The sequence below is a fragment of the Homo sapiens genome, chromosome 1, assembly GCF_000001405.40.
Source record: "Homo sapiens chromosome 1, GRCh38.p14 Primary Assembly".
Classification (NCBI taxonomy): domain Eukaryota; kingdom Metazoa; phylum Chordata; class Mammalia; order Primates; family Hominidae; genus Homo; species Homo sapiens.
The window spans coordinates 157,503,060-157,529,970 of record NC_000001.11 but is presented as its reverse complement, the minus strand read 5'-3'; the positions used below and the strand labels follow the sequence as shown (position 1 = coordinate 157,529,970).

The 26,911-nt window shown below is 45.0% G+C and overlaps 1 protein-coding gene across 6 annotated transcripts in view, besides 3 other annotated features; it reads left to right on the top strand.

Annotated features, from left to right (window-relative positions):
• The window catches only part of FCRL5 (Fc receptor like 5), a 39,139-nt gene extending 22,545 nt beyond the window's left edge, over positions 1 to 16,594 (top strand). For 3 of the 6 annotated variants that reach the window (XM_011510030.3, XM_011510032.3, NM_031281.3), the window contains 9 exons: positions 2,076 to 2,354; positions 5,414 to 5,692; positions 8,679 to 8,954; positions 9,424 to 9,540; positions 10,201 to 10,228; positions 11,189 to 11,271; positions 11,474 to 11,542; positions 14,098 to 14,129; positions 14,207 to 16,594. In XM_011510030.3, the coding sequence (XP_011508332.1) occupies positions 2,076 to 2,354; positions 5,414 to 5,692; positions 8,679 to 8,954; positions 9,424 to 9,540; positions 10,201 to 10,228; positions 11,189 to 11,271; positions 11,474 to 11,542; positions 14,098 to 14,129; positions 14,207 to 14,296 (1,253 nt within the window). In that variant the 3' untranslated portion in view covers positions 14,297 to 16,594. Of the gene's footprint in view, positions 1 to 2,075; positions 2,355 to 5,413; positions 5,693 to 8,678; positions 8,955 to 9,409; positions 9,541 to 10,200; positions 10,229 to 11,188; positions 11,272 to 11,473; positions 11,543 to 14,097; positions 14,130 to 14,206 lie in introns of those variants that run through there. The other 3 variants (NM_001195388.2, XM_011510031.3, XM_011510033.3) reach the window with 3 other exon arrangements.
• Positions 5,730 to 6,009: an enhancer, noted in NCBI's record as "active region_1891". NCBI's record gives its function as "activates an Ori minimal core promoter by ATAC-STARR-seq in GM12878 lymphoblastoid cells {active_cell/tissue: GM12878}" and the evidence as "EXISTENCE:reporter gene assay evidence [ECO:0000049][PMID:35858748]".
• Positions 8,722 to 9,921: an enhancer, noted in NCBI's record as "CDK7 strongly-dependent group 2 enhancer chr1:157489840-157491039 (GRCh37/hg19 assembly coordinates)". NCBI's record gives its function as "activates an origin of replication core promoter dependent on BRD2, BRD4, P300/CBP, MED14 and CDK7 cofactors, with strong dependence on CDK7, by STARR-seq in HCT116 cells {active_cell/tissue: HCT116}" and the evidence as "EXISTENCE:reporter gene assay evidence [ECO:0000049][PMID:35650434]".
• Positions 24,174 to 24,413: an enhancer, noted in NCBI's record as "active region_1890". NCBI's record gives its function as "activates an Ori minimal core promoter by ATAC-STARR-seq in GM12878 lymphoblastoid cells {active_cell/tissue: GM12878}" and the evidence as "EXISTENCE:reporter gene assay evidence [ECO:0000049][PMID:35858748]".

Here is a 26,911-nt window from a genome sequence, read left to right as displayed (position 1 = left end):
AAAAAAATTTCAGTAGTTTTGGGGACCAGGTGGTGTTTGGTTACATGAGTAACTTCTTTAGTAGTAATTTCCGAGATTTTGGTGCACTCGTTGCCAGAGCAGTGTACACTGAACCCAGTGTGTAGTACTTTATCCATCACCCCACTCTCACTCTTCCACTGAATCCCCAGAATCTATTATATTATGCTTAGGCCTTTGCGTCCTCATAGCTTAGCTCCCACTGATAAGTGAGAACATACAATGTTTGGTTTTCCATTCCTGAGTTACTTAGAATAATGGTCTCCAACTCCATCTAGGTTGCTGTGAATGCCATTATTTTGTTCCTTTTTATGGCTGAGTAGTATTCCATAGTGTACACACACACACACACACACATGCGTATGTATCACATTTTCTTTATCCACCCCTTAATTGATGGGCATTTGGGCTGGTTCCATAGTTTTGCAATCATGAGTTGTGCTGCTATAAACACGTTTGTGCAAGTGTCTTTTTCATATAATGACTTCTTTTCCTCTGGGTAGATACCCAGTAGTGGGATTGCTGGATGAAATGGTAGTTCTACTTTTAGTTCTTTAAGGAATCTCCATACTGTTTTCATAGTGGTTGTAATAGTTTACATTCCCACCAGCAGTGTAAAACTGTTCCCTTTACACCACATTCATGCCAACATCTATTATTTTTTGTTTTTTTAATTATGACCATTCTTGCAGGAGTAAGGTGGTATCGCATTGTGGTTTTGATTTGAATTTCCTTGATAGTGATGAGCACGTTTACATGTTTGCTGGCAATTTGTGTATCTTCTTTTGAAAATATTCTATTCATGTCCTTTGCCCACTTTTTGATGTGATTGTTTTTTCCTGATGATTTGTTTGAGTACTTTGTTGATTCTGGATACTGGTCCCATGTCAGATGCATAGTCTGTGAATATTTTCTCCCACTCTGTGGGTTGTCTGTTTACTCTGCTGATTATTTCTTTTGCTGTGCAGAAGCTTTTAAATTTAATTCAGACCCATCTATTTATTATTGTTTTTGTTGCATTTGCTTTGGGTTCTTGGTCATGAACTCTGCCTAAGCCAACCAATGTCTAGAAGAGTTTTTTAAAGTATATTCCAGGGTTTATATGGTTTTAGGTCTCAGATTTATGTCTTTGATCCATCTTGAGTTGATTTTTGTGTAAGGTGAGAGATGAGGATCCAGTTTCATTCTTCTACATGTGGCTTGTCAATGATGCCAGCACCATTTGTTGCATAGGGTGTTCTTTCCTCACTTTACATTTTTGTTTCCTTTATCAAAGATCAGTTGGCTGTAAGTATTTGGCTTTATTTCTGTGTTCTCTCCTTCCATTGGTCTACCTGTCTGTTTTTATACCAGTACCATGCTGTTCTGGTAACTATAGCCTTGTAGTATCGTTCAAAGTCAGGTAATGTGATGCCTCCAGATTTGTTCTTTTTGCTTAGTCTTGCTTTGGCTATGTAGGCTCTTTTTTTTGTTCCATATGAATATTAGGATTGTTTTTTCTAGTTCTGTGAAGAATTATGGTGGTATTTTGATGGGAATTGCATTGAAGTTATAGATTGCTTTTGGTAGATGGCCATTTTCACAATATTGATTCTACCCATCCATGAGAATGGGATGTGTTTCCATTTGATTGTGTCATCTGCGATTTCTTACACCAGTGTTTTGTAGTTTTTCTTATAGATATCTTTCATTTACTTGTGAAGGTGTATTTCTAAGTATTTTATTTTTGTAGGTGTCATAAACAAGTTTGAATTTTTTATTTGATTCTCAGCTTGGTCACTATTGGTGTATAGCAGTGTTACTGATTTGTGTACATTGATTTTGTATCCTGAAACTTTACTGAACTCATTTATCAGATCTAGGAGCTTTTTGGATGAGTCTTTAGGGTTTCCTAGGTATACAATCATGTCATCAGTGAACAGCAACAATTTGACTTCTTCCTCTTTACCAATTTGGATGTCCTTTATTTCTTTCTCTTGTCTGATTGTTCTGGCTAGGACAAAGAGCTGTTTCTAATTTTAAAAATACATGTGTCCCTAACTCATTTTCTCTCTCAGTTCCAGTGTCTCGCCCCATCCTCACCCTCAGGGTTCCCAGGGCCCAGGCTGTGGTGGGGGACCTGCTGGAGCTTCACTGTGAGGCCCCGAGAGGCTCTCCCCCAATCCTGTACTGGTTTTATCATGAGGATGTCACCCTGGGGAGCAGCTCAGCCCCCTCTGGAGGAGAAGCTTCTTTCAACCTCTCTCTGACTGCAGAACATTCTGGAAACTACTCATGTGAGGCCAACAATGGCCTAGTGGCCCAGCACAGTGACACAATATCACTCAGTGTTATAGGTAAGTTGACCTAACCAGCAGCACAAAAATAAAAAGACCATCTCCCCTAACTTTACCAGTAGCCAAGATCAGAGGTACAGTTTCTAGAGTCATTTGCTGTGTGACATCCTGTCAGGCTTGGTGCCTACACAGCCTCCATCTCTAAGTTTTGTATCCTACACGTTCAGGAACTTGCACCTTCCCTTCCCTTGCTGTACTTTTCCTGCTAGCAGCAGTCCAGCCATCACGACCAAAATTCCCCTAACATAGGAGTAAAGGCTTTCAAAATACAAACTATATTCTGGCCAACAGTGATAGTAAGAAAGAAAGTTATAAAGTTCTGTGTGCTTCACCTTGGAAGAGATTTAGTTGTGGTTTTCTCTGTCTGCCAATCAATAAAAAGGCCAACACAATTCTCTTATTGGCTCACACATTTCTCTCTAGCCTCTCCTGCCCCTGTCCCAGAGTGGGTTGGGTTCCCACCCAAGACCCTTGTTAGAAGACATAATTCTTCTGCCTCCTTACCTGCTCCTGTTCCATTCAGCAACATCAAGATCTTCCATGCATCCTTGTCACAGGCAGACTCCTAGTTATGCCCACTCTCAGTGAAGGCTTTGGCACTGTACTTTCAGTCTTTCTCCATACTCCATAATCTGCCATCATTTCATGACTCTCATGGTCACATGTATAATCCCCTTAACACCATGGCCTGTCCTCTCCACACCAGTCAGCCACTCCCACATACATACACTACTTCATCTCCAAAAGGACAATTTTAAGCCCTTATTATCTGACAACCACCCCCTGGCCTTCTGCTTGCGTCAGCTCCTCCTATCACTATTGTTCTCAGACCTCAACAGAACTCCCAGGTCATTAATACCTCCACTAATTCCCTACTCCACTAGACAATAACCCCCTCCACTCCCACCACCAAATTGAGTGTCTAGCTCTGTATCCACCCAATAACTCATCTGTCCTTTTCCTAAAATATAGAGGAGAGGACTTCCCTCCCCATAGGTGAACATCTCCATCTGGTCTCCAGATTTCATCATTTTGTGCATTCTCAGAAGCTATGTAACTGATTATCCCTTTCTCTTCTGTGGCCCCCAACATCTCTGTCTCTGTAGGATCCTTTGCACTGGCACGTAACATGGTATATCTCTCCCATATCCAAGGAAAACCCTCTCTTGGTCCCACTTATACCTCCATACACTACCCCTTCATGGCTAAACTTCCAAAAACAGTCAGTTACCCAGACTGTCTCCATGTCCTCACTATCCACTAGGCTCTAATCTACTAGGTTTTTCCAACCTCTCCACCAAAATGTTTCTCACAAAGGTCACCGATGACCTTCAAGGCTTTAAATCCAATGGCCATTTTTCAATCCTCATCTTCCTTGACATCTCAGATATATTACATGTTGTTTACCATTTCTTCCTTCTTGAAACCCTCCCTTCAGTGAATCTATCTTCTTCTGGCTCTCTTCTCTCCCTGGCCACTTCTTCTCAGTCTTCTTTACTGGCTCCTCCTTTTATAGAAAACCTTTAAGCACTGGCATGTTCCAGAACTTTGACTTATGCCCTCTTCTCTTATCTAAATCCTTTGTCTGGATGATCCTGGGTATGTCATGTATAAATGGCCTTGTCATCTATAAATAATGATTCCTAAACTTCTATCTCTAAAAGGGACCTCCCACTTGAGCATCTGCACATGACATACCTTCACTCAAATATCTCAAAAGCACATCAATCTGAGCATTTCTAAAACTGAACTGCTGACATTCCCTTCCTCTTTCAAGGGTTCCTACCTCTGTGAAACACATCTCTTCTCAACAGATACACAAAGCAGGAACAGAGGAGTCTTCCTCAACATTTCTCTTCCTCACCCCTCACAGCCAGTTAATCATTAAGTCCTGTTGATTTGACTTCCTAAATATTTCTTGGGTCTCTATCTCTACCACCTCTATCTAGACAAGTCCACCATCATTTTGACTACTGCAGTGCCACTCATCTATCCCTCAATTCCACTTCCATTCCACCACAGTCCATTTCATGCACAGAGGTCAAAATGGTCTTTTAAAAGGGACAAATTTGATCATCTCACAGCCCTGCATAGATAGACTTATAGACTTCCCATTGCTCTGTGAAGAAGGATCAAAATCCTTTCATGGCTTATGAAGTCCAGCCTAGATCTCCAGTCTCCTATTTCTTGGTAGTTTGCAGAATCTTCTCAGTGTGATGCTACTTTATTTCAAAAATTCAAATGTGCCAGTCTTATTCCCAACTCAGGGCGTTTGCACATACTGTTTGCCTGCCTGGTGCACTCTCCACCTCCATCATCAACTGGTTAATTTCAATGTTAATTTCAAAGATCATTTTGTGGGGAAGCTTTCCTTGACTAACACATACATTTCATAGTACCCTGTCCTTTATCAATTATCAAAGTTTTAATTGTAATTTACTGTATTTTTATTTAATTGCTGCCTCTCATCCTTCTAGATTGTAGGCTCTATGAGAGCAGTAACTATGTCTTTCTCATCACTGATTCCCTAGCATGTCATGCCATTCTTGGGACTTATTAAATGCTCAATTAATTTTTATTTTTGCTCAATTTTTTAAAAAATTTTTGTTCAATTAATTTTTGATGGATAAATGAATGTAAAAATGAGCAAATAACTTGACAATACTCATTCTCTTGTGGGCCCTATTTCTGATGCAGCCCAGATGCAATTACATCCCTGGTGATGTAAGCAGCAAGTCTCTCCTGTTCTTCATTTTCTGTTGAACTGATTTCTCCTCTCTCCAACTGTCTTTTTACCTCTAAGACACCTGAGTTTCAGTTTAATCTTTGTTTTCACATTCTTCAAACACATTTGAGTTTGTATATTCCACTATTCCAAGCTGTTTATAGCACTACACAAATGTTGTTCTTTCTGGAGATCTGAAAATATTGCTGAGTTTTGAGTAATGTCACAAGGGCATTAAAAACTGAGAAAAACATTCTTCCATTTGAAATGTCTTTAGCATGAAGGAATATATTTTAGCAGAAGCAGCTGATACATAACGTTTTTCCTCCCTCAGTTCCAGTATCTCGTCCCATCCTCACCTTCAGGGCTCCCAGGGCCCAGGCTGTGGTGGGGGACCTGCTGGAGCTTCACTGTGAGGCCCTGAGAGGCTCCTCCCCAATCCTGTACTGGTTTTATCATGAAGATGTCACCCTGGGTAAGATCTCAGCCCCCTCTGGAGGAGGGGCCTCCTTCAACCTCTCTCTGACTACAGAACATTCTGGAATCTACTCCTGTGAGGCAGACAATGGTCTGGAGGCCCAGCGCAGTGAGATGGTGACACTGAAAGTTGCAGGTGAGTGGGCCCTGCCCACCAGCAGCACATCTGAGAACTGACTGTGCCTGTTCTCCCTGCAGCTGAAAATGGAGCCACAGAGCTCCTCAGGGCTGTTTGCTTGTGTGGCATCCCAGCACACTTCCTGCCTGCAGAACCTCCCTGTGAAAGTCTCGGATCCTTTGTGGTATGGTTCCAGGAATCTGATGTTTCCCAGCAGTCTTCTTGAAGATGATCAAAGCACCTCACTAAAAATGCAAATAAGACTTTTTTAGAACATAAACTATATTCTGAACTGAAATTATTACATGAAAATGAAACCAAAGAATTCTGAGCATATGTTTCTCTGCCGTAGAAAGGATTAAGCTGTTTCTTGTCCGGATTCTTCTCTCATTGACTTCTAACAAGCCTCTACTCTTGAGTCTCTTTCATTACTGGGGATGTAAATGTTCCTTACATTTCCACATTAAAAATCCTATGTTAACATAAGCTATGTGTACAGCCCTTCAGGAGACACACTCAGCGATCTTTAAAGCAAGGGACACAGGTGACCAGGGCAGAGAGTGGGGAGCAGGATGACATGGAATGGAAATGGACATCCATCACCCAAATTCCTCTATTCTCGAAGCTGTTCTTTGATCTCTTTCAATTAAGTGTAATAACCCAAGGAAAGCTGCTTCTAGTGAGCTCTGAATCTTTTTGGTGATGACCTCCTACAAGCCAAACTTTGAAACCTCTGTTTAGAGAGAACTGGTGTTTAGCAAAAGTATGCTAAGGGGTGTTGAGATGAATCTTCTAGACTTGGATCTGAAGATAACTAGCTGTATGACATTGGCCAAGCACCTCTTCCCATACTGACCTCAATTTCCACACCCACAAAGTGGGAAAATCAGACTAGATGAAAATCATGATCATCCTTTGTCCTAGAATTCTATGATTTTGGTAGACAGGGAATATGGATTATGCAGACGTACAGGTTCCTAGAAGGAGATATGCAAAAGTAAAAGCAGGTTGTACCTGCCCCTGGAATATATCCTGGAGAAACACGAGACCATACAATGGTATGCAATCACCATTCCAGTCATGTAAAGCAAAATATACACTGATGCTCTTATTCCCTTTGGCAAGGTGCCTGGGTATCATAAGGAATAGACAGAGTCACATAAGCAGGTTGATCTGGGCATGCTAACCCATGATCCAGCATCTCACAAAGTAGCCAGTGCAACCATCTCATTGTTATCCAGGAGGTGATGACTTCAGATTTGGGTTTTCCCATTCAGTCAGCTCGTTCTTCTTCCCCCACCAGCAGCACCAACCTCATCCAATTTTCCTGAGATTTGCAGGGGCTCTCCCCACACAGTTTACACACCTATCCCTTAGAGCCAGCACACAGGCATGTACCACGGACCGAGGGCTGCTCCATCTTTCCTCACAATACAGCAAGCCAACACATCATACCTCCTACATTCTATACTTATGATTTCATGATTTTCTGCTCATCCTCACTCCCTCATTTCTATAATTCTCTGTCGCAAATGCATGTTATTTCTGCTGCTGTTATCACAGCTAAAGGGTTTCTTGCCCAGCCTGAATGAATTGTGTCTGAATCCTGAAACTAGGACCCAGGTCATAGAGACCAGGAGCTGCCAGAAAAGGAAATATTATTTCTTATTATCATCATAACCAGTGTCATCATCATCAACACTCACTGAGCCTTCACCAGGTTCCAGGCTCTGTGCTAAATGTTTAATAGGCAACATCTCATTTAATTATTAAGATAAACCTGTGAGGATAAATTTTAAGCCATCGTATCCCCTATTTGCGGAAAAGAGACTGAGGTTTAGAGAAGTGAAGTAACTAGCTTGCAGACACACAGCTAGCCAGGGTAAAGCCAGGTTGAAGCACAGTCCTCTCTAACTCTTCACATTAGTCTGATACATGATGACATTTTCTCATCCGTTGTGGCCACTTTTAACACAACATTTTAGTTTTTAGTAATTTGTTATTCTGAAAGAACACATGAATGTTTGTGATGAAAAAAATCAAATAATACAAAAGGGCCAATATTGAAAAGTAAAGGTCTCTTTCTACCTGCTCATATCACTTCTTACGCACATATTCTCCAGACATAACCACTGTTAATTGTTTCATGTGTATGCTTCTAGAAATAATCTACAAACCTAAAGGTAGATAATTTTTAGAAAGCTAGAATAATATTACACATATAGTTATGCCAGTTGCATTTTTTAACTTAAAATACATCCTGACTTTTGTTTAAGAAATGCATCTTGGATATCATTCATGTTTCATTACCCAATCCAGTAGGTTGTCTCTAATTTTTAGCTCTTGTAAAAATGCTACAATAGAAATTCTTGTAGAAATATATTGGCATATTTTATGTCAGTATCCCTAAAGGAGATGGCCCTAGAAGTAGGACTTGAACTCCTGGGCTCAAGTAATCCTCCTGCCTCATACTCCCAAATCGCTGGGATTATAGGTGTGAGCCACTACACCTGGCCCACTAGAAGCAGATTTGTTGGGTCAAAGTTTATGTGCACTTTAAATTTTGTAGATATTGCCAAGTTGCCATTCAAGGAAGTGTGTTAAATTTGTATTACCACCAAGGGCATATGTAGGTGCCTGTTTATCTACAAGCTAATCAGTATGATCAGTCTATTTAAGCTTTGCCAACCTGAAAAATAGAAAAAAGAATAGTATTGTATGGTTGTCTTTGTGTTTAGTTAATTAGTAATGAAGATGAGAATCTCTGTATATATTTATTGTCTATTTGAAGTTTTCAGTGATTTATACACTTTTTACAGTTTTCTATTGGATATTTTTGTACACTGAAAACTATTAGCAGGTCAAAGTAATTAGCTTTATCATCTATGTTTTAATCTACTTTCCAAGATTGAGATATGACTTTTTACATTTGTTTATGATACCTTTTGTTTCTTACAAATATGTTAGAAGCAGAAACTGCTGTTGACTTTTTGTTCTCTTTCAGTTCCGGTGTCTCGCCCGGTCCTCACCCTCAGGGCTCCCGGGACCCATGCTGCGGTGGGGGACCTGCTGGAGCTTCACTGTGAGGCCCTGAGAGGCTCTCCCCTGATCCTGTACCGGTTTTTTCATGAGGATGTCACCCTAGGAAATAGGTCGTCCCCCTCTGGAGGAGCGTCCTTAAACCTCTCTCTGACTGCAGAGCACTCTGGAAACTACTCCTGTGAGGCCGACAATGGCCTCGGGGCCCAGCGCAGTGAGACAGTGACACTTTATATCACAGGTAAGTTTCCCGTGCCCGGGCCACAGATGCGGACAAAATGTTTCCTCCGCGGACCCTCTGATAACCCTCACAGTGCTTGATCAGAAAGGCACTCCTCAGGGCGAAGTAACACAGCTGGCAGCTCTCTAAACTGCTATATTTCCTGAAGTGCTTCTGAAGTGATGGCGTTGGGGCTGAGAGCGCGGGTTGGCGGGCTGGGCGCAAGAGCGCCACTGACTTTAGAGGTCCTCACCTGGCTGCCTCCTCTCTCACTGGCCACCGGCCACCCTGACCCTGGACACTTGTCTCAGGCGCAGAGACGGCTTCCTCACAAAGACAGGAGCCATCTTCTGTGCCACACCAGCCCCTGCTTAGCTGCCGGGGACCTGCTCACCTAGGTTCACCGTCAGGCCCAGGCAGCAGCTTCCGGGAGCGGGCAGTTCCAGACCACAGCCTCTCCTCTGGCTCACACACAGGGTCTCCCCCTCAGGGCTGACCGCGAACAGAAGTGGCCCTTTTGCCACAGGAGTCGCCGGGGGCCTGCTCAGCATAGCAGGCCTTGCTGCGGGGGCACTGCTGCTCTACTGCTGGCTCTCGAGAAAAGCAGGTGGGTGACTCTGGGCACACCTTGGCTTGAGTTCATGCCCTTCCCAGCAACGCTCCCTTGGGCTTCATGCTGCCTTTGTGACCATCCCAGGCTCGCAAGAGCTCATCCGCTCTGTCCCTCAATCCTCTTCCTTTCCCGCTGGGTCCTCCCGAATTGCTTTTACCAAATGCACAGTTTCCAAAACAGACCTATAAGGTGGGAGACGTCTTGATGAGATGTAGTTTATCCAACATCATAAACTACAGAGTGTCTTCCTCTCGACCCTTATAAGACCCCCCCAACGAATGGGAAGAGGAGGAGAAAAACTCAGAGAAATAGAAATGAAAATAGAAACCAGATAGGATTCAGTAATTTTCCGATTTTTTAAATGTACACTATTTTTATAGTTGATCAAGTCTGTTTTCCTGCCTTGGAGATTATCTTTAAAATCTCCAGGTTAAAGGATTACGGATTGTGGACTCCCGTTTCACATCATAGCAAACCCCTCTGGCAGGGTCAGTAGTTTTTGCCCAATCTGCTACCTCCCTGGGGCATAACAAAGAAGGATTCAACCTTCAGTGACAGCAACTCCTGGCAGTTTCTAAGTGAGCCTTGCCTGAGCTGTGCCCCACTGAGGGTCTCATCTTCCTGAATCCAATGCTCCTCTGCTTTCCTTTACAGGGAGAAAGCCTGCCTCTGACCCCGCCAGGTAAGAGCTGAGCTGCATTCCTGTGTGATTAGTGAAATGTCCACAGGGTGGAAAAATGGAATTGAATCTGATGATTACCAAGAGCACAGTTTCTGCCAGGTGCTGCTGAGCTGGGGTGTGGCCACTACCTGTTGTACGTCCCTGGGGATATCTTAAGGCAATTCCCAGGACCTTTGCACCCACCCCCTTAGCTGTATAGGCTGTTATCTCATCAAGTATTAATTGCCTTTTCATTTATTAACCCACATCCTTGGACCATTGTTGGCTTGGTTGTCTGAATGACCACTATGACCACCAAGTCTTTCCATATCTTGAGATGACCTTAGCTCAGTCAACCTAGAAATCTCTGGAGATGCTGATCTCATCAACACCTCTTGTGATAACAACTGAGAAGATGGAGCCGCACAACTTGGCCACCCAGAGAGGTCACTCTGCCAGCAGGAGGTAGTCCCTGTGAAGAAGGGGCCACCATCTTGTATCCCTAAGGCTGACTTTAGGAGCCACACAAAGGCTCACAGCTATCCCTGGGCAAGCCCACGATAGCAGCATCCAAACATGTAGAGCACCTCGGAGCCTTCTGGTCACTGATCTCTCTGAGCATGCAGGGTTCGGAGCCAGCTTTGAGCCTTGGCTCATCCCCTTTCTGGTTACATGATCTTCATAAGTCACTTATTGGAGCCTCCGTTTGTTTCAGCTAAAACGAGGATGAAATAGAACTAACAACGTATTGCTGTAAGCATCAGCACCATGCCTGTTACACACTAGATGACCAGAAAGCCTGGAAACATATATAATATGATTATGATTCATAATAGAATGCCCATGGTCAGTTTGTTATGTACTTGTTCATGTTTCCAGGCCTGGCAGCCACCCTGCAGTAAGAAGTCACTCACTAGGAGTGATCATTATAGCTACTTTGTCTGGATTCCTAAGAAACATTCACATTTCTCTGTCTCACAGGAGCCCTTCAGACTCGGACTCCCAAGAGCCCACCTATCACAATGTACCAGCCTGGGAAGAGCTGCAACCAGTGTACACTAATGGTGAGGCCCGAGGATCCTGCATTTGGCAGAAGCTGGAGGGCTGGTGTGGGAAAGCGGTGGGGCAGGAGATGGGGAGGGACTATGCCGAGGCCTAGAGGGCTCTAGTCCTTCCAGAAAAGAGACTCTGGCTGGGGGAGGAGGAAGTATCTCTAACAAGAGGCAAGAACCTCAGCATCCTCTGAAACTTCAACTTTTTTCTAAGCAAATCCTAGAGGAGAAAATGTGGTTTACTCAGAAGTACGGATCATCCAAGAGAAAAAGAAACATGCAGGTAAGACCCAAGGATGTCTCTGTTCTGGCCCACCCTCAACTTAGACAGTATAGCTCAGTTTCTACCCACTCAGCAGATCTGAGCCAGACAGGCATAGAGCCGCCCCTCCCACTGGGTCATGGGGCTTCTTTATGTGTGCCTATGCTGCTTCAGGTGAATCCAAGCCTCCCCTGCACTCTCCTTTCCCTATTCTCTGCAGAGGGCCCCAGTATAACCTGAATAACAAAACTATCTTTTTGGGCATTCGCTTAACCTCTCAGACCTTCCATATCCCTATCCATAAACTGTGACTACTTCCCTACTGTCTTAGTCAGTTCTGGCTCCTGTAACAGAGTACCATAAACTAGGTGACTTAAAGAACTAATATCTATTTCTCACAATTCTGGAGGCTGGAAATCCAAGATCAAGGTGCCAGCATGGTCAGGTTCTTAGTGAGGGCCCTATTCCCATTTTCCAGACAGATGACTCCTTGCTGTATCCCCCACACAGCAGAGAGAGAGGGAGAGATCATCTTTCATGTCTCATCATGATAATCATCATGACATAATTGTCACCCAAAGGCTCCACCTCCAAATGCCATCACATTGGGGATTAGGTTTTAACCCATACATTTGGAGAGCAACACAAATATTTAGTTGATAGCACCTACCTACCTGTACTAGTTTCTGATTGCTGCTGTGACAAATGACCATAAATTTGGGGGGATGAAGCAGTACAAATTTATCATCTTACAGCTCTGTGGGTCAGAAGTCTGACGCCGGTCTCACTGGGCTAAAATCATGGTGTTGGCAGGGCTGTGTTCCTCCCTGGAGGCCCATCCACTTTCCTGCACCCATGTCCCCTTCCTTTCCCAAAGCCAGCAAAGTCACATTTCTCTAATCATTCTTCCATAGACAGGCCTCCTTCTGACCTCACCTGAGAAAAGTCCTTGGGTTTTAGAGAATCATATGAGTATATTGGGCCCATCTGGATAACCCAGAATAATCTCCCTATCTCAGGGTCTGTAATCCTAATCACATCTGAAAGGTCCTCTTTTCCACTTAGGGTAATATAGTCACAGGTTGCAGCAATTAGGGCGTGACATCTTTGGGGGCACATTATTACAGCTACCATGCTGTTTCATGGGGTAACTGTGGGGACTAAATGAGAAAATAGGTGTGGAAATGCTGTCGAAACTGCAGAGGGTTGAGCAGCTGTGACGATGACTACATGCTGGAGGTCTGGCTATGTCATCAACCCTCACTCACAGTCGGTGGTTTGAAATGAGGGAATCCCAGCCCGGCTGCCTCCTTACTCGGAGCAGGAAAGAGGAACAAAGTCCTTCACGGCAGGCTTTTCTTTCTACCTCTGCTTCATAAAAAGTGCTGCGTGATTTTAGCCAGTGTGCTTCCCTCTCTGGTTTTCTAATTTTTCTTATATAAAGTCAAGTGAATTGTGTTTGTGCCTCATTCTTGGTTCTATAGCACCCCTCTGAGACATGTGAACTCATTCACTCTTACAAGCCCCTTTGAGGTATGCGCTGTTACTACTCCCATTTTACAGATGAGGAAACCAAGGCATAGACACCTTAAATGACTTGCCTGAAATCTTATAGTCAATCACCAAACAGTCTTCTCCAGAGTCCAAACTCTAGACCAAACTCTGCTTCTTCATGCAATTCCAGGGAGTCCTGATGCTCATTCCAAGCCAAAAGGGCAGAGCCTTGTCTGGAGAATGTCATATTTCTCTCCAGTTTGATGATAATATAACAATAATAATTTATAATATCTATCATGTGCTGAATAGTTCCTATTATGTGCTGGGTATAGTTCTATAAGTGCGATAAATAAATACACTATATTTGTATGGATAGCTCTTAGAACTATACCTGTAGCACTTATATAGAACTATGGCATGCATACATATGATAATAGAGAGAGAGAAAATGTATTGAATATAGCAATCAGGACTGTACCTGACACATAGAAACTGCTCAATACATGACAGATGATAGAAATAATATATGCACAGACACACAGATACATGTGCTCACACATATGTGTAAACTCATATAGCTTCACCACAACCTTACAGGCAGAGGATATTTTTATTCCCATCATATAGATGAGGCAACTGAGGCAAGAGATGTTGAGTGACTTCCCCCAACCACGGAGGTGACAAGACAGGCGGCAGGCTCAGTTTCAGGTGGTCTAGACCCTGATGGAGTGTGCTCTCTAAAACTTGCACCCACCACACCTTCCCAGAACAATAATACCAATTATGCTCAAATAACTAACAAGATAAAAGACAAATGACTTTCTCTTGAGGGCCTCTAGGCAGCTCAGAGTGGGCCACAAAGTGTGAAGGGGAGTTGAAGAGAGGGTCTGTCAGTGCTGAGAGGCTGAGGGAGTTGGGAATGGAGAGGGACTGGGTGAGCACCAACTAAGAGGAATGGCTACTCACCGCACAGAGGGAGAGCGGGCCTCCAGGAGGCTCAGGGCTGGCCCCACAGCGCAGGCACAAGGGAAGAGCCCCATGCCAGTCTTCCACAACTGAACACTTTCCTCTTTCCACAGTGGCCTCTGACCCCAGGCATCTCAGGAACAAGGTGAGTCTCCCCTTCTGCATGCCCTCCCCCACCCCCAGGCCCACCCTGGTCCTCACGCATGTGCTCTTGCCTCCTAGGGTTCCCCTATCATCTACTCTGAAGTTAAGGTGGCGTCAACCCCGGTTTCCGGATCCCTGTTCTTGGCTTCCTCAGCTCCTCACAGATGAGTCCACACGTCTCTCCAACTGCTGTTTCAGCCTCTGCACCCCAAAGTTCCCCTTGGGGGAGAAGCAGCATTGAAGTGGGAAGATTTAGGCTGCCCCAGACCATATCTACTGGCCTTTGTTTCACATGTCCTCATTCTCAGTCTGACCAGAATGCAGGGCCCTGCTGGACTGTCACCTGTTTCCCAGTTAAAGCCCTGACTGGCAGGTTTTTTAATCCAGTGGCAAGGTGCTCCCACTCCAGGGCCCAGCACATCTCCTGGATTCCTTAGTGGGCTTCAGCTGTGGTTGCTGTTCTGAGTACTGCTCTCATCACACCCCCACAGAGGGGGTCTTACCACACAAAGGGAGAGTGGGCCTTCAGGAGATGCCGGGCTGGCCTAACAGCTCAGGTGCTCCTAAACTCCGACACAGAGTTCCTGCTTTGGGTGGATGCATTTCTCAATTGTCATCAGCCTGGTGGGGCTACTGCAGTGTGCTGCCAAATGGGACAGCACACAGCCTGTGCACATGGGACATGTGATGGGTCTCCCCACGGGGGCTGCATTTCACACTCCTCCACCTGTCTCAAACTCTAAGGTCGGCACTTGACACCAAGGTAACTTCTCTCCTGCTCATGTGTCAGTGTCTACCTGCCCAAGTAAGTGGCTTTCATACACCAAGTCCCAAGTTCTTCCCATCCTAACAGAAGTAACCCAGCAAGTCAAGGCCAGGAGGACCAGGGGTGCAGACAGAACACATACTGGAACACAGGAGGTGCTCAATTACTATTTGACTGACTGACTGAATGAATGAATGAATGAGGAAGAAAACTGTGGGTAATCAAACTGGCATAAAATCCAGTGCACTCCCTAGGAAATCCGGGAGGTATTCTGGCTTCCCTAAGAAACAATGGAAGAGAAGGAGCTTGGATGAGGAAACTGTTCAGCAAGAGGAAGGGCTTCTCACACTTTCATGTGCTTGTGGATCACCTGAGGATCCTGTGAAAATACAGATACTGATTCAGTGGGTCTGCGTAGAGCCTGAGACTGCCATTCTAACATGTTCCCAGGGGATGCTGATGCTGCTGGCCCTGGGACTGCACTGCATGCATGTGAAGCCCTATAGGTCTCAGCAGAGGCCCATGGAGAGGGAATGTGTGGCTCTGGCTGCCCAGGGCCCAACTCGGTTCACACGGATCGTGCTGCTCCCTGGCCAGCCTTTGGCCACAGCACCACCAGCTGCTGTTGCTGAGAGAGCTTCTTCTCTGTGACATGTTGGCTTTCATCAGCCACCCTGGGAAGCGGAAAGTAGCTGCCACTATCTTTGTTTCCCCACCTCAGGCCTCACACTTTCCCATGAAAAGGGTGAATGTATATAACCTGAGCCCTCTCCATTCAGAGTTGTTCTCCCATCTCTGAGCAATGGGATGTTCTGTTCCGCTTTTATGATATCCATCACATCTTATCTTGATCTTTGCTCCCAGTGGATTGTACAGTGATGACTTTTAAGCCCCACGGCCCTGAAATAAAATCCTTCCAAGGGCATTGGAAGCTCACTCCACCTGAACCATGGCTTTTCATGCTTCCAAGTGTCAGGGCCTTGCCCAGATAGACAGGGCTGGCTCTGCTGCCCCAACCTTTCAAGGAGGAAACCAGACACCTGAGACAGGAGCCTGTATGCAGCCCAGTGCAGCCTTGCAGAGGACAAGGCTGGAGGCATTTGTCATCACTACAGATATGCAACTAAAATAGACGTGGAGCAAGAGAAATGCATTCCCACCGAGGCCGCTTTTTTAGGCCTAGTTGAAAGTCAAGAAGGACAGCAGCAAGCATAGGCTCAGGATTAAAGAAAAAAATCTGCTCACAGTCTGTTCTGGAGGTCACATCACCAACAAAGCTCACGCCCTATGCAGTTCTGAGAAGGTGGAGGCACCAGGCTCAAAAGAGGAAATTTAGAATTTCTCATTGGGAGAGTAAGGTACCCCCATCCCAGAATGATAACTGCACAGTGGCAGAACAAACTCCACCCTAATGTGGGTGGACCCCGTCCAGTCTGTTGAAGGCCTGAATGTAACAAAAGGGCTTATTCTTCCTCAAGTAAGGGGGAACTCCTGCTTTGGGCTGGGACATAAGTTTTTCTGCTTTCAGACGCAAACTGAAAAATGGCTCTTCTTGGGTCTTGAGCTTGCTGGCATATGGACTGAAAGAAACTATGCTATTGGATCTCCTGGATCTCCAGCTTGCTGACTGCAGATCTTGAGATATGTCAGCCTCTACAGTCACAAGAGCTAATTCATTCTAATAAACCAATCTTTCTGTATGTGTGCATGTGTATGTGTGTGTATAAATGTATATGCATTTGTGTACACAGATAGGTGTATATCTGTGTGCTTACCTCATGGGTGCATGTGAGTACACACAAAAAAACCACACACACACAAGCACACACATCCTGTTGGTTCTGTTTCTCTAGAGAACACTGACAAACACAATGATTAACAAGGGTGCGAGAACCAAATGGGCAGGCTAAGCGTCTGCTCTCGAGGCTGGACTTCCATGAGAGGGAAGGCTTCCGTCTTTAGAACAGATACATTTTTCTAGTTTGCAACCTTGTGCTGGTCTTGAGTGAAGAGGAAGGAGAAAGTGAAGAAATTCCCCCATGCTTTAGCCTGGGATAGGACAGACCCAGTGAAACGGGTCTATCTATAATTTAGAATGGGCAAACAAAGAGCAAACCTCAGCCTCGAGTATAGTGTGGCCTGGAGTGGACTCGAGTTCTTGAGGGACAAAATCTCAACTGCCCAGCAGTGGTCTCAGGAGGCTCCACAGAGGCAGAATGTTTCTTTGAGGGGACAGCCCCACATATTAGGAGAGCAGTATGGCTCTTGTGACTGTAGAGGTTGACATATCCTAAGATCTGCAGTCAGCAAGCTGGAGAGCCAATAGTACAGTTTCTTTCAGTCCAAATGCCAGCAAGCTCAAGACCCAAGAAGAGCCATTTTTCAGTTTGAGTCTGAAGGCTGAAAAACTAATGTCCCAGCCCAAGGCAGGAAGAGTTCCCCCTTACTAGAAGAAGAATCAGCCCTTTTGTTTTATTCAGGCCTTCAACAGACTGGATGGTCCCCACCCACATTAGGCAGGGCAATCTGCTCTATTTAGTCTAATTATTCACATGTTCATCTCACCCAGAGAGACCCTCACAAAACACTCAGAATCATGTTTGACCAAATGTCTGGACACTCTGTGGCCCAGTCAAGTTGACACATAAACTTAATCATCACAATCACAAAGGTGGTCTCTTGGCTGCACACATTTTTGGGGATTGTTTCTCAGTTGGTTCAGATCTCTGAGCTGTTACTTTTAGGGTCTCCTCAAAGAGAAGAGAGGCCCGGCTTCCCTCACATTTGTGGTTAAAAGAAATATTCTAAGATTATGCCCACTTCCTCTTTTTGTTTTGTCTTTTGTCACTTCTCAAAGTCCACCTGTCTCTTTGACATCTAGCTGACCTGTTTCATGTCTCCTAATTTTACCTCAACTAACCAACTTTATTGTCTTTGCCCTCTTCCAATCTCCTCTGATTAATACTGCCCACTCAACAGAGAGCTTGCCATAAGAATAACTACTACTTATTAGGAATTAATGTGTCATACCTTATGCTAAGCTTTTTGCATAAATTATCTTATTTAGGGTGCATAACAGGCCTATGCAATACTTATTCATTACTGTCCCTGTTCCTGGAACCAAGCTGAGTTCAGCTGTGTTTTCTCAAGGCCCAATAATGAGAAGCAGACAAACTAGGAAAGAAGGGAACTTATTGCTGTAACCAGATACAGTGAGAAGGTCAGAGATAATTCTATCAGTCCAACTCAAAGTGTTACAGTTTTCTCAGTGCTTATATAGGTTGGGATTATGTGCCTCTGTGCAGTATAGCATTCACCTAAGTCTATTGGTAACTAATTTTGTTTCAACTAGAAGGTCAGAGGCAAAAAAAAAGCTTGCTAAGTCCAATTAAAAGGCCTCCAATACCTTCAAGGCCTGTCTACTGTGGTACTGGAGTGATTATTTCTCTCTTATCTCCTTTATGGCTTGGTCCGGAGAGCTGTCTTAGACTCTCCAATGAATCTATTCAAACAGCTGCCTCTGTTACCTTGACTCGTCTCAGATTTCATTGACCAGAGACAGGTCCTGGCACTAGGAATCTATGACTGTCTCTATTATTTTGGCTTGCTCCAGGTTAGGGAGAAGCCCATGCAAGGCTCCTACTGACCATATGTTTCATTTCCAGCTTTGATGTCTGGGCACCGATTTCTCTAGGTTTAACTATTTGCTCAATGTTAAGGCAGTGCTGTGGAAATTTGTCTGTGTAGCTGGGGTGCTATGCAGGCCTGTCTGTGTGACTGTCATGCAGGCCTGTCTGTGTGACTATCAGGGAGAATTGGCCTGCCACATCCCTATTTTACAGATGAGGTAACTGAGACTTAAAGAAATTAGTTTAGACTAAGACCACACAATAGTAAGTCAGAGCTAGAACTGTGCATCCCTGGAGTCCATGCTTAGTCACTTCACCAAATGTCCTCAGTGAGTATCGTGGGCCACAGAGTCCTATTTGGGGAGAGGCATTTGTGAAGCAGGAAGAGAGCACACGAGACTTGGAGCCGGAAGGCCTGGCTCCTGTACAGGCCACTACCCGTTGCTGTTTAACCTCTCTGAGCTCTGGTTACCTCATCTATAAAACTGGAAAAGAAATAACAGCTGCTTGACTGAATTACATATGGAAGGAGGTAAGGTTTGAGAACGCTATGCAGATGTTCACGGAAGCAGGTGGGGAGGTGCCTGTGTTTGTTACCAAGTTTGCATTGCTTTCTGTTTGCCTTTCTTGGTCCCTCCCCCATCATTACAGTGGAGCAGCTGCTGAATTGCAAAAACATACTTCAGGGCCAGGCGCGGTGGCTCACGCCTGCAATCCCAGCACTTTGGGAGGCCGAGGCGGGTGGATCATGAGGTCAGGATATCGAGACCATCCTGGCTAACACGGTGAAACCCCATCTCTACTAAAAATATAAAAACTTAGCCAGGCGTGGTGGCGGGCGCCTGTAGTCCCAGATACTCGGGAGGCTGAGGCAGGAGAATGCCGTGAACCCAGAGGCAGAGCTTGCAGTGAGCTGAGATTGCGCCACTGCACTCCAGCCTGGGTGACAGGGCGAGACTCCGTCTCAAAAAACAAAAAACAAAAAGCATACTTCAGAAGAAAATGATGGAAAATAATCTGGTCTTCTTTTTAATGTGAGGGGAATGGGATAATTAGATGGGAGGTGTGGGAATGCATAAACTCAACATTTCAGGGATTACATAAATTCATAAAATCTTTCTGATGTGAATGTTCTTTAATTATTTTCCAGAGAAATAAAAGCAAAGGGGTGATGTCCCCAGAGACACTCTTCCGGGTGGCTTATTGACAAAAGAACATATTTGCTTATAAGAAGGCTGTGAATAAATACAAATTTCGTGGGTGGGGCCCAGCATATCCTGCAGCTCTACATTTCTTGGCATCAGGCAGTTTAAGAGATTAAGGACTCTGATGAAAAGAGACAAAATGAGAGTGTTCAGGCTGCTGGGTGCCTCAGGGACGTGTCCTCCACGCCCGGCCTCAGCCTCCCTTCCCATCTCTCCACCATTGCTCTCGTCCATCTTATGTGTTTGTCCCACACCTCTGAACACCATGTCCACCTGTGTCTCCAAGTGGGGCACCACAGAGCAAACCCGATGGATAGATCTGGTCCAGAGGCGGCCTTGTGGCCATGTTGGTGGATGGAGGAGAGCTGGGGGAAGACATGGGAGAATAAGGCTTAGAGGCAGGTGCCCCTCACTTGCCTTCCTTCCATCTGACCAAGCAGTGCTCTTTGTCAGGGTCACTGTCACCTGGCCTCACCAAAAATAGAATGAGCTCTGCGTGGGAAGGGAAGAAGGAGGAGGTGCTGTGGCCATAACCATGGGGTAACAGGGGCGTAGGGAGGGTGAGGCAATAGCTCAGGAGGACCCTCCCCAGCTGGCCCAGGGACTCCAGGCCTCAGGCTTTGGGGTGTGAGAGTGGTCAGGGAGGGGTGAGTTGTTTAATTTTCAAGTCTTATTACTAGAGAAGGCCTTGAGGGCATCCACTTCTTGTACTTTTCTCATGCTTGGGCCCCTCCACAGCATCCCTGCTGAGACATCAGCCAGCCTATGCTGGAATGCTTCTGGGGCCAGGGAGCTCAGCACCTCACCTGGCCTGAAATCACTGAAGGTTAGAGCTAGAAGGGGCCCTTGAGACCCTCAGGCCCTGCTCATGCTCATGTTTCCTGTCACCCTTCTTGCACTCTGAAAGTGACCTCCCTGTCACTCTTACCCTTAAGGAGAGTCTGCCCCCTGTACTTATTAGCCAAACTGCCTCCTTCAGATGTCACCTTCAATAGCTAAACTGTGGGGCAAGGCAGTGTGGGAGCTCCTCCACGCTCCTCACTATCATTTGCAAATTCCTTCACTGAGTATGTGTTCTTATTTAGTATGAATTCATATTCAGTGCCTACAACTGAGAATTGTTGAGAAGTCATCAAGAAGACCCACCTTGCCACTATGCACATCCTCAGTTTTGCCTACAACTGAGAATTCTTATTCATATGTATTCATATTCTGTACCTACAACTGAGCCAGGTGCTTGCTGTACTAAGTACTTGGAATACACTGGTAAACAAGGCAAATAAAAAAAATTCTGCCCTCAAGGAGCTGACATTCTAGCAGGGGAAACAGACAGGGAACGCTAAACATGATAAGTATGTAACTTATGTCATGATTTAGAAGGTGGCATGCGCCATGAAAAAGAAGAAATAGAGCCAAATAGGAGGGTTAGGATGCCCAGAGGAGGCTGCAACAATAAAGAGTGGTCGAGGAAGTCCTCACAGAGACGGTGATCTGAACAAAGGCATGAAATGTTCCATGGCCATTTGGACAGCATACAGGAGTCAGAGGGAGGAGTGCCCCAAGAAGAGGACATAAAATAGGATCACACCCAACAAGTTTGGGGCTAGACAGCAGAGAGCCACGTGGAGGCAGGGGGGCCAGTTAGGAGACCACTACACCATCCAGGTGAGAGATTATGACAGTTGAGATGGGGTGATGGTGGTGGGGTCAGAAGTGATGGAATACTGGGCATATCTTGAAGCTAAAGTATCCAGAATTTTCTGATGGATGAAATGAAGATTCAAGAGAAAGAAAAGAATCAACATGATTCCAAAATACTTGGCCTGAGATTCTAGAAAGATGGCAGCTCCATCCTGAGGTGGAGAACACTGTAAGTGGAACAAGTTAGGGGAGAGGATCAGAAGTTTGGTTTTGAGCAATGGACATGCAGGTGGAGATGTCAAGGACACAGTCAGTGACAGAAGACTGGATTCAGGAGGGAGCTCTGGAGACGTACATGCCAGTCATTGGCATCGAGGATGGCATGAGGGCATTGAGGATGTGCATAGTGACGAGGTGGGCCTTCTTGACTACTTCAGAAATATGTCTTGTCTGCCAATTCAGGATGGCCAAATGAGCACACACCCCATTACTCCTCTCGCTTGCAAAATCCACCAAAATATTAGATTTATCATTTATTGGTCATTGTCCTAACAGTACTACATATATTGTCTCACTCCATCTCAAAATAACTTATAAGAGAGCTGCATTGTGCCCGTTTTACAGATGAAGATGCCACAGTGCTGAGATCCAGTTATCCAAGGCCACAGGACTAATATGAAGCAGTTTCAAACTCAGAAGGCCCACTCTTAATCACCATGTTATACTGATGTAGCACATGTTCCAGCAAATCTAAACTTTAGCAATAAAAATAAAATCTAAGAAAGAAAATGTCACAAGATCCATGAGAATGTAGTACTCAGGTGTCCCAGAAAAAATTCTAAGCTGACAGCTACACAGCTGCCCCAGAAAACAATGCATCCAAAAAGTCAGAGGACTTGGGGAAGATTGCTCCACTTCCACCAGAGGAAGTCACTTCCACTCCAGAAATTATAGAAATAAGAACACAGAATAAAGATTCTAAGCAGGTCTAAGTCAATTCTAAACAATCAGATGAGATATGTTATTCTTCAATAAAAATTACAGCAAATAGAATGACAATTAGAAATCCAGGGAAAACAAGACAGTCTAAGAAAGTCGTGGTTCAAATTTGAAGTAACTGAAGTGTGGGTAACTGGATAATTAATGGAGTGGAGAAAAGAGACCTTTATTCATAGAACATTCTCCTTTGAGTGCCCAAGGTTTAATTACATAGTATTTTATTTCCTTTTCCGTGGGCCTAATCACAGTACTTGGTTCTGCAGTGACTCGTGTTTACATAATAATAATGCCTTAAATACTGTTTAAGGGTTTTCAATTTTTAGAATCAACTTCAAGCACAGAACACTTAATTATGGCTACTTCAGTATTCAAATTCTATAAACACGTGCAACACAAAAGTGATATTATGGCTCACAGAACTCTGGAGGTGGAAAGCAGAGGAAAGTCTACATGCACTAACTTTGTGTATGTGTGTGTGTGTAGTGGAGAATCAATATAGACTTTTTCTAAAAATAATACATCAAAAAATTGAGATTTGGCTGGGTGCAGTGACTCACAGCTGTAATCCCAGCACTTTGGGATTGATTCACAAGGCCGGTGAATCATTTGAGCCAGGAGTTTGAGACCAGCCTGGTCAACATGGTACAACCCCGTCACTAATAAAAATACAAAAATTAGCCAGGCATGGTGGCATGCGCCTGTAATCCCAGCTACTCAGGAGGCTGAGGCAGGAGAATTGCTTGAACCCGGGGGGTGGAGGTTGCATTGAGCCGAAATTTCTCCACTGCACTCCAGCCTAGGCGAGAGAGTGAGACTCCGTCTCAAGAAAAAAAAAAAAAAAAAAAAAAAAAAGGGAAAAAAAAGAAAAAGAAAGAAATTGAAATTTAGGTCCTTTTTTTTAAAGCATAAATCTAGCCATTAGAAAAACCTAGTCATATTACAGATTGAAACCAGGAAGTAAAGGGGACAGGAAGACAGGAAAGCCCTATAATGCCCTAAATTCTTCATCTTTCCTACAATGTAGGTAATAGACACCATCTAGTATAGTTTGGATGTGTGTTCTTGCCCAAATCTCATTTTAAAATGTAATCCCCAGTGTCGGAGGTGGGGCGCAGTGGGAGGTGATTGGATCTCCGGGGCAGATTTCTCATGAATGGTTTAGCACCATCCCCCTTGGTAATGTCCTCACAATAGTGAGTTACTGTGAGATCTGGTTGTTTACAAGTGTGTGGCCCCTACCCCTGCACTCTCCCTCTCTCTCTTGCTCCCACTATGGCCATGTGATGCACCTGCTCCCAGGTTGCCTTCGGTCATGATGGTAAGTTTCCGGAAGCCTCCCAGAAGCTGAGCAGATGCCAGCGTCATGCCTCCTGTGCAGCCTGCAGAACCGTGAGCTATTAAACCTCTTTTCTTTATAAATTATCCAGTCTCAAACATGTCTTTATAGCAAGAGAGAATGGACTAACACACTATCTAAAGTGGATAAATCAAGGATTTCCATGTATTATCATGTTATTTATGTTTGTGTGCTGACCAGATAACTAAAAACAGAAAACGCTAATCACAGGAGTAAACCGAGCTACAGGGAGGAGAAACTTTACTTTTTATTGTATGTCTGTACCAGCTGTTTGAATTTTTAAACATGAGCACGTATCCTTTTGCCACGTATGTGCCTATTTAATGTGAAGCTGCGTCAGAGCCTTCTTGTTGCACATTGAACTCAAGTGCAGCCACAGTTCTAACAAATGGCCAATAGGTGTCACTAGGTCCCTGGGCTGTGCGGGGCTCTGAGCAGAGTAGCCAGGAGAGCTGACTGTTCTGTCTCTTTTGGACCCTGACAGGGAATGGGGCAAAGGGAGGCAGCAGCTGGAGGCCAGTGGCTTGCCAGCAGCAGAGCCGGCATTCGGCACACAGCTGCAGTTCTCAGGGCATGGGCAGCCCCAGATGGCACCACCACGGGGAAAATGTCCCGATGGAGGAGGTTCACAGAAGGCTGGGCTGGGCCAGCCTGCGTTAGGAGGGCAGAGACTGTGAGAAAGCAAAGGAAGCCAGTGAGAAAACAGAAACTGAAGCAGAGAGCAGTACTTGCATCAAGTGAGAGTGCCTGAGCCCACCTTCCCTAGATCCACCACGTGCCAACTTTGTGACTGCAGCAAGCTGCTCAGACCAGGAGAGCTGAGCACCTGGGAGTGGAATAATAGCAGTGCCCACCCTGCACAGCTCTGAAGACTAAAATATTCATAAACATTTTAGAAACTGCTTCTCAGTTTGGCAATTTCCTATAAAGTTAAGCATACACTTGCTGTACAACCCAGAAAATCCCCCCTAGGTTTTACCCAAATGAAATGAAAGCTGAGATTTACAGAAGAACCTATACAGTATATTTTTAGTAGTTTTGTTTATAGTCACCCAAAACTAGAAACAACCCAAATACCCCTTAATAGGGAAATGGATAAACAAATTGGACAAATTCTATACAATGGAATCCTATTCAGCAACTAAAAAAATGAACAAACTCCAGAAACACACAAGAACATGCGTTGCAGGACTTTTTCTTCTTTCAGCTAAAAATGGGGTTCTTTGTCCCACGGTCATGAAAATTCAGGCTCACAGACAATTTTAATGGTGAGTAAGACAAGTTTTTTTGGGTAAAGAGGAAGAAAAGGAGCAAACAGGGACTCTTGCAATGCCAGAGTCCCTGCTAGAGCACTTCCCGCCTGCCTTGGAATCCCAGGTTCCACACAGGAAGAGGAGGGGCCCAACTCCTCCCCACAAAGGGTGTGAACTTCTGTGGCTCCACCCCATTGTGCAGGCTGGTTGGAGTTTTTCCGGGGAGCCCTCTCCCGCCTGGCTGTCTCGTTCCCCTTTCTAAAGAAGTACATCAAACTTTTGTTAGATTAAGGATAAGGACGAAGACCCATTTTAACTGCTTCCTGCTGACAGGGGATGCTGTTTTGGGGAAACAACAGTCCGAGCTCCCTCAAAGGTCTATTTAAGGTTTCCCAGCAGAAGGGGACATTGTCAGAGGCTCCAGCTGCATGACTATTTGGAGTTTGATGGCCTGAAGGCAAGAAGAGACAAACTATGTTATTAGAAAACATGTATCCAAATGAAACAAGGGGAGGGTTAAGGACAGCTCAAAAATTCTGAGGCCTTTTACCAGTTTGCACAGGAAGAGGGAGGCCAAAAGCCCAACTGGTTAAAATACTTTACCCTTTTGCCAGCATGTTGGGCTTCTGGGTTCTCTTCCCCTGAGCCCAATCCTATGGCAGCCATTTTAAGGTTTGGGAAATTAACTCCTTCCAGTTTGTAGGATGCATCTGAAGGGAGTGTCTTGTAGTACAGAGACACAATTACCTATTAGTGAAGAGAGGACAGAGAAGGAGAAAGGAAAAAAAGAGGCACCTGTTAAAGGAGTCCCAGAGGTTCAGGATGCATTTGGAAGGGGTACAGACTGAAGATGAATGGCTACCCATCTAGAAAGAGGGGAGCAGACATCCCTGGCTCCCTTCTCTTCCTAGCAGATACCCGGGGATGTGACGGAGAGAAGGAAGAGTGTCCTCTTTCCTCTTCCGTCCTTGCATCCCCAAGTCCGGGCGACTTAGGCAGGTCTGGCGTGAGTGCAAAAGAGCTTTGCACCCATGAAGCAGGGGGCCCTTAGGGGTGGGAATCATCCACTCTTACCCATGTATGCCGTATCTCCCTTGCTGTTGGTAGCCTTGGAGTTCCCTAGATCTCATTTATGCCATGGACATTAACGTGGCCTTTATCCATGAAATAGCAAGCTCGGGGTTGGCTTAATCAGCAGAAATTAGCCACGCTCACCTGCGCTGTGCCTTTTAACCTTTGTAGCTGCCTGCCTCTGGATCTGTTAGATCCAGTTCTCTTTCTCTTTTTTTTCTTTTTTTTTTTTTTTTTTTTTTTTTTTAGACAGAGTCTTGCTCTCTCACCCAGGCTGGAGTGCAGTGGCAAGATCTCGGCTCACCTCAAGCTCTGCCTCCCAGGTTCACGCCATTCTCCTGCCTCAGCCTCCCGAGTAGCTGGGACTACAGGCACCCACCACCAAGCCTGGCTAATTTTTTGTATTTTTAGTAGAGATGGGGTTTCACCATGTTAGCCAGGATGGTCTCGATCTCCTGACCTCGTGATCCGCCCACCTCGGCCTCCCAAAGTGCTGGGATTACAGGCGTGAGCCACCATGCCCGGCCCAGTTCTCTTTCTTATAGCATTGACCTGAAGCTTGGAATTGAGTTTGGGACAAAAATGTTTCCCAGGGGGTTGCATGGACTCCTTATCATAAGCCAAATGCTAAGGTGCAACTGTGGAACTGAGTCCTCCTCCAACAAGGGAAAGAAAAGGATGTCTTGTGACACACCCAGATAACTGGTGGCTTCAGTTATGCTTGCTAGGATTTGGGTGCATGGTCCTTGGCTTTGGTTAGCTCCCTTGGTGTTACTTTCCCAAAAAAGAAACCTTCAAGTGATGGGCATCCTATTTATTCCCATCACCTGGCGGGATTTGCAGGATAATTGCTCAGAACTAG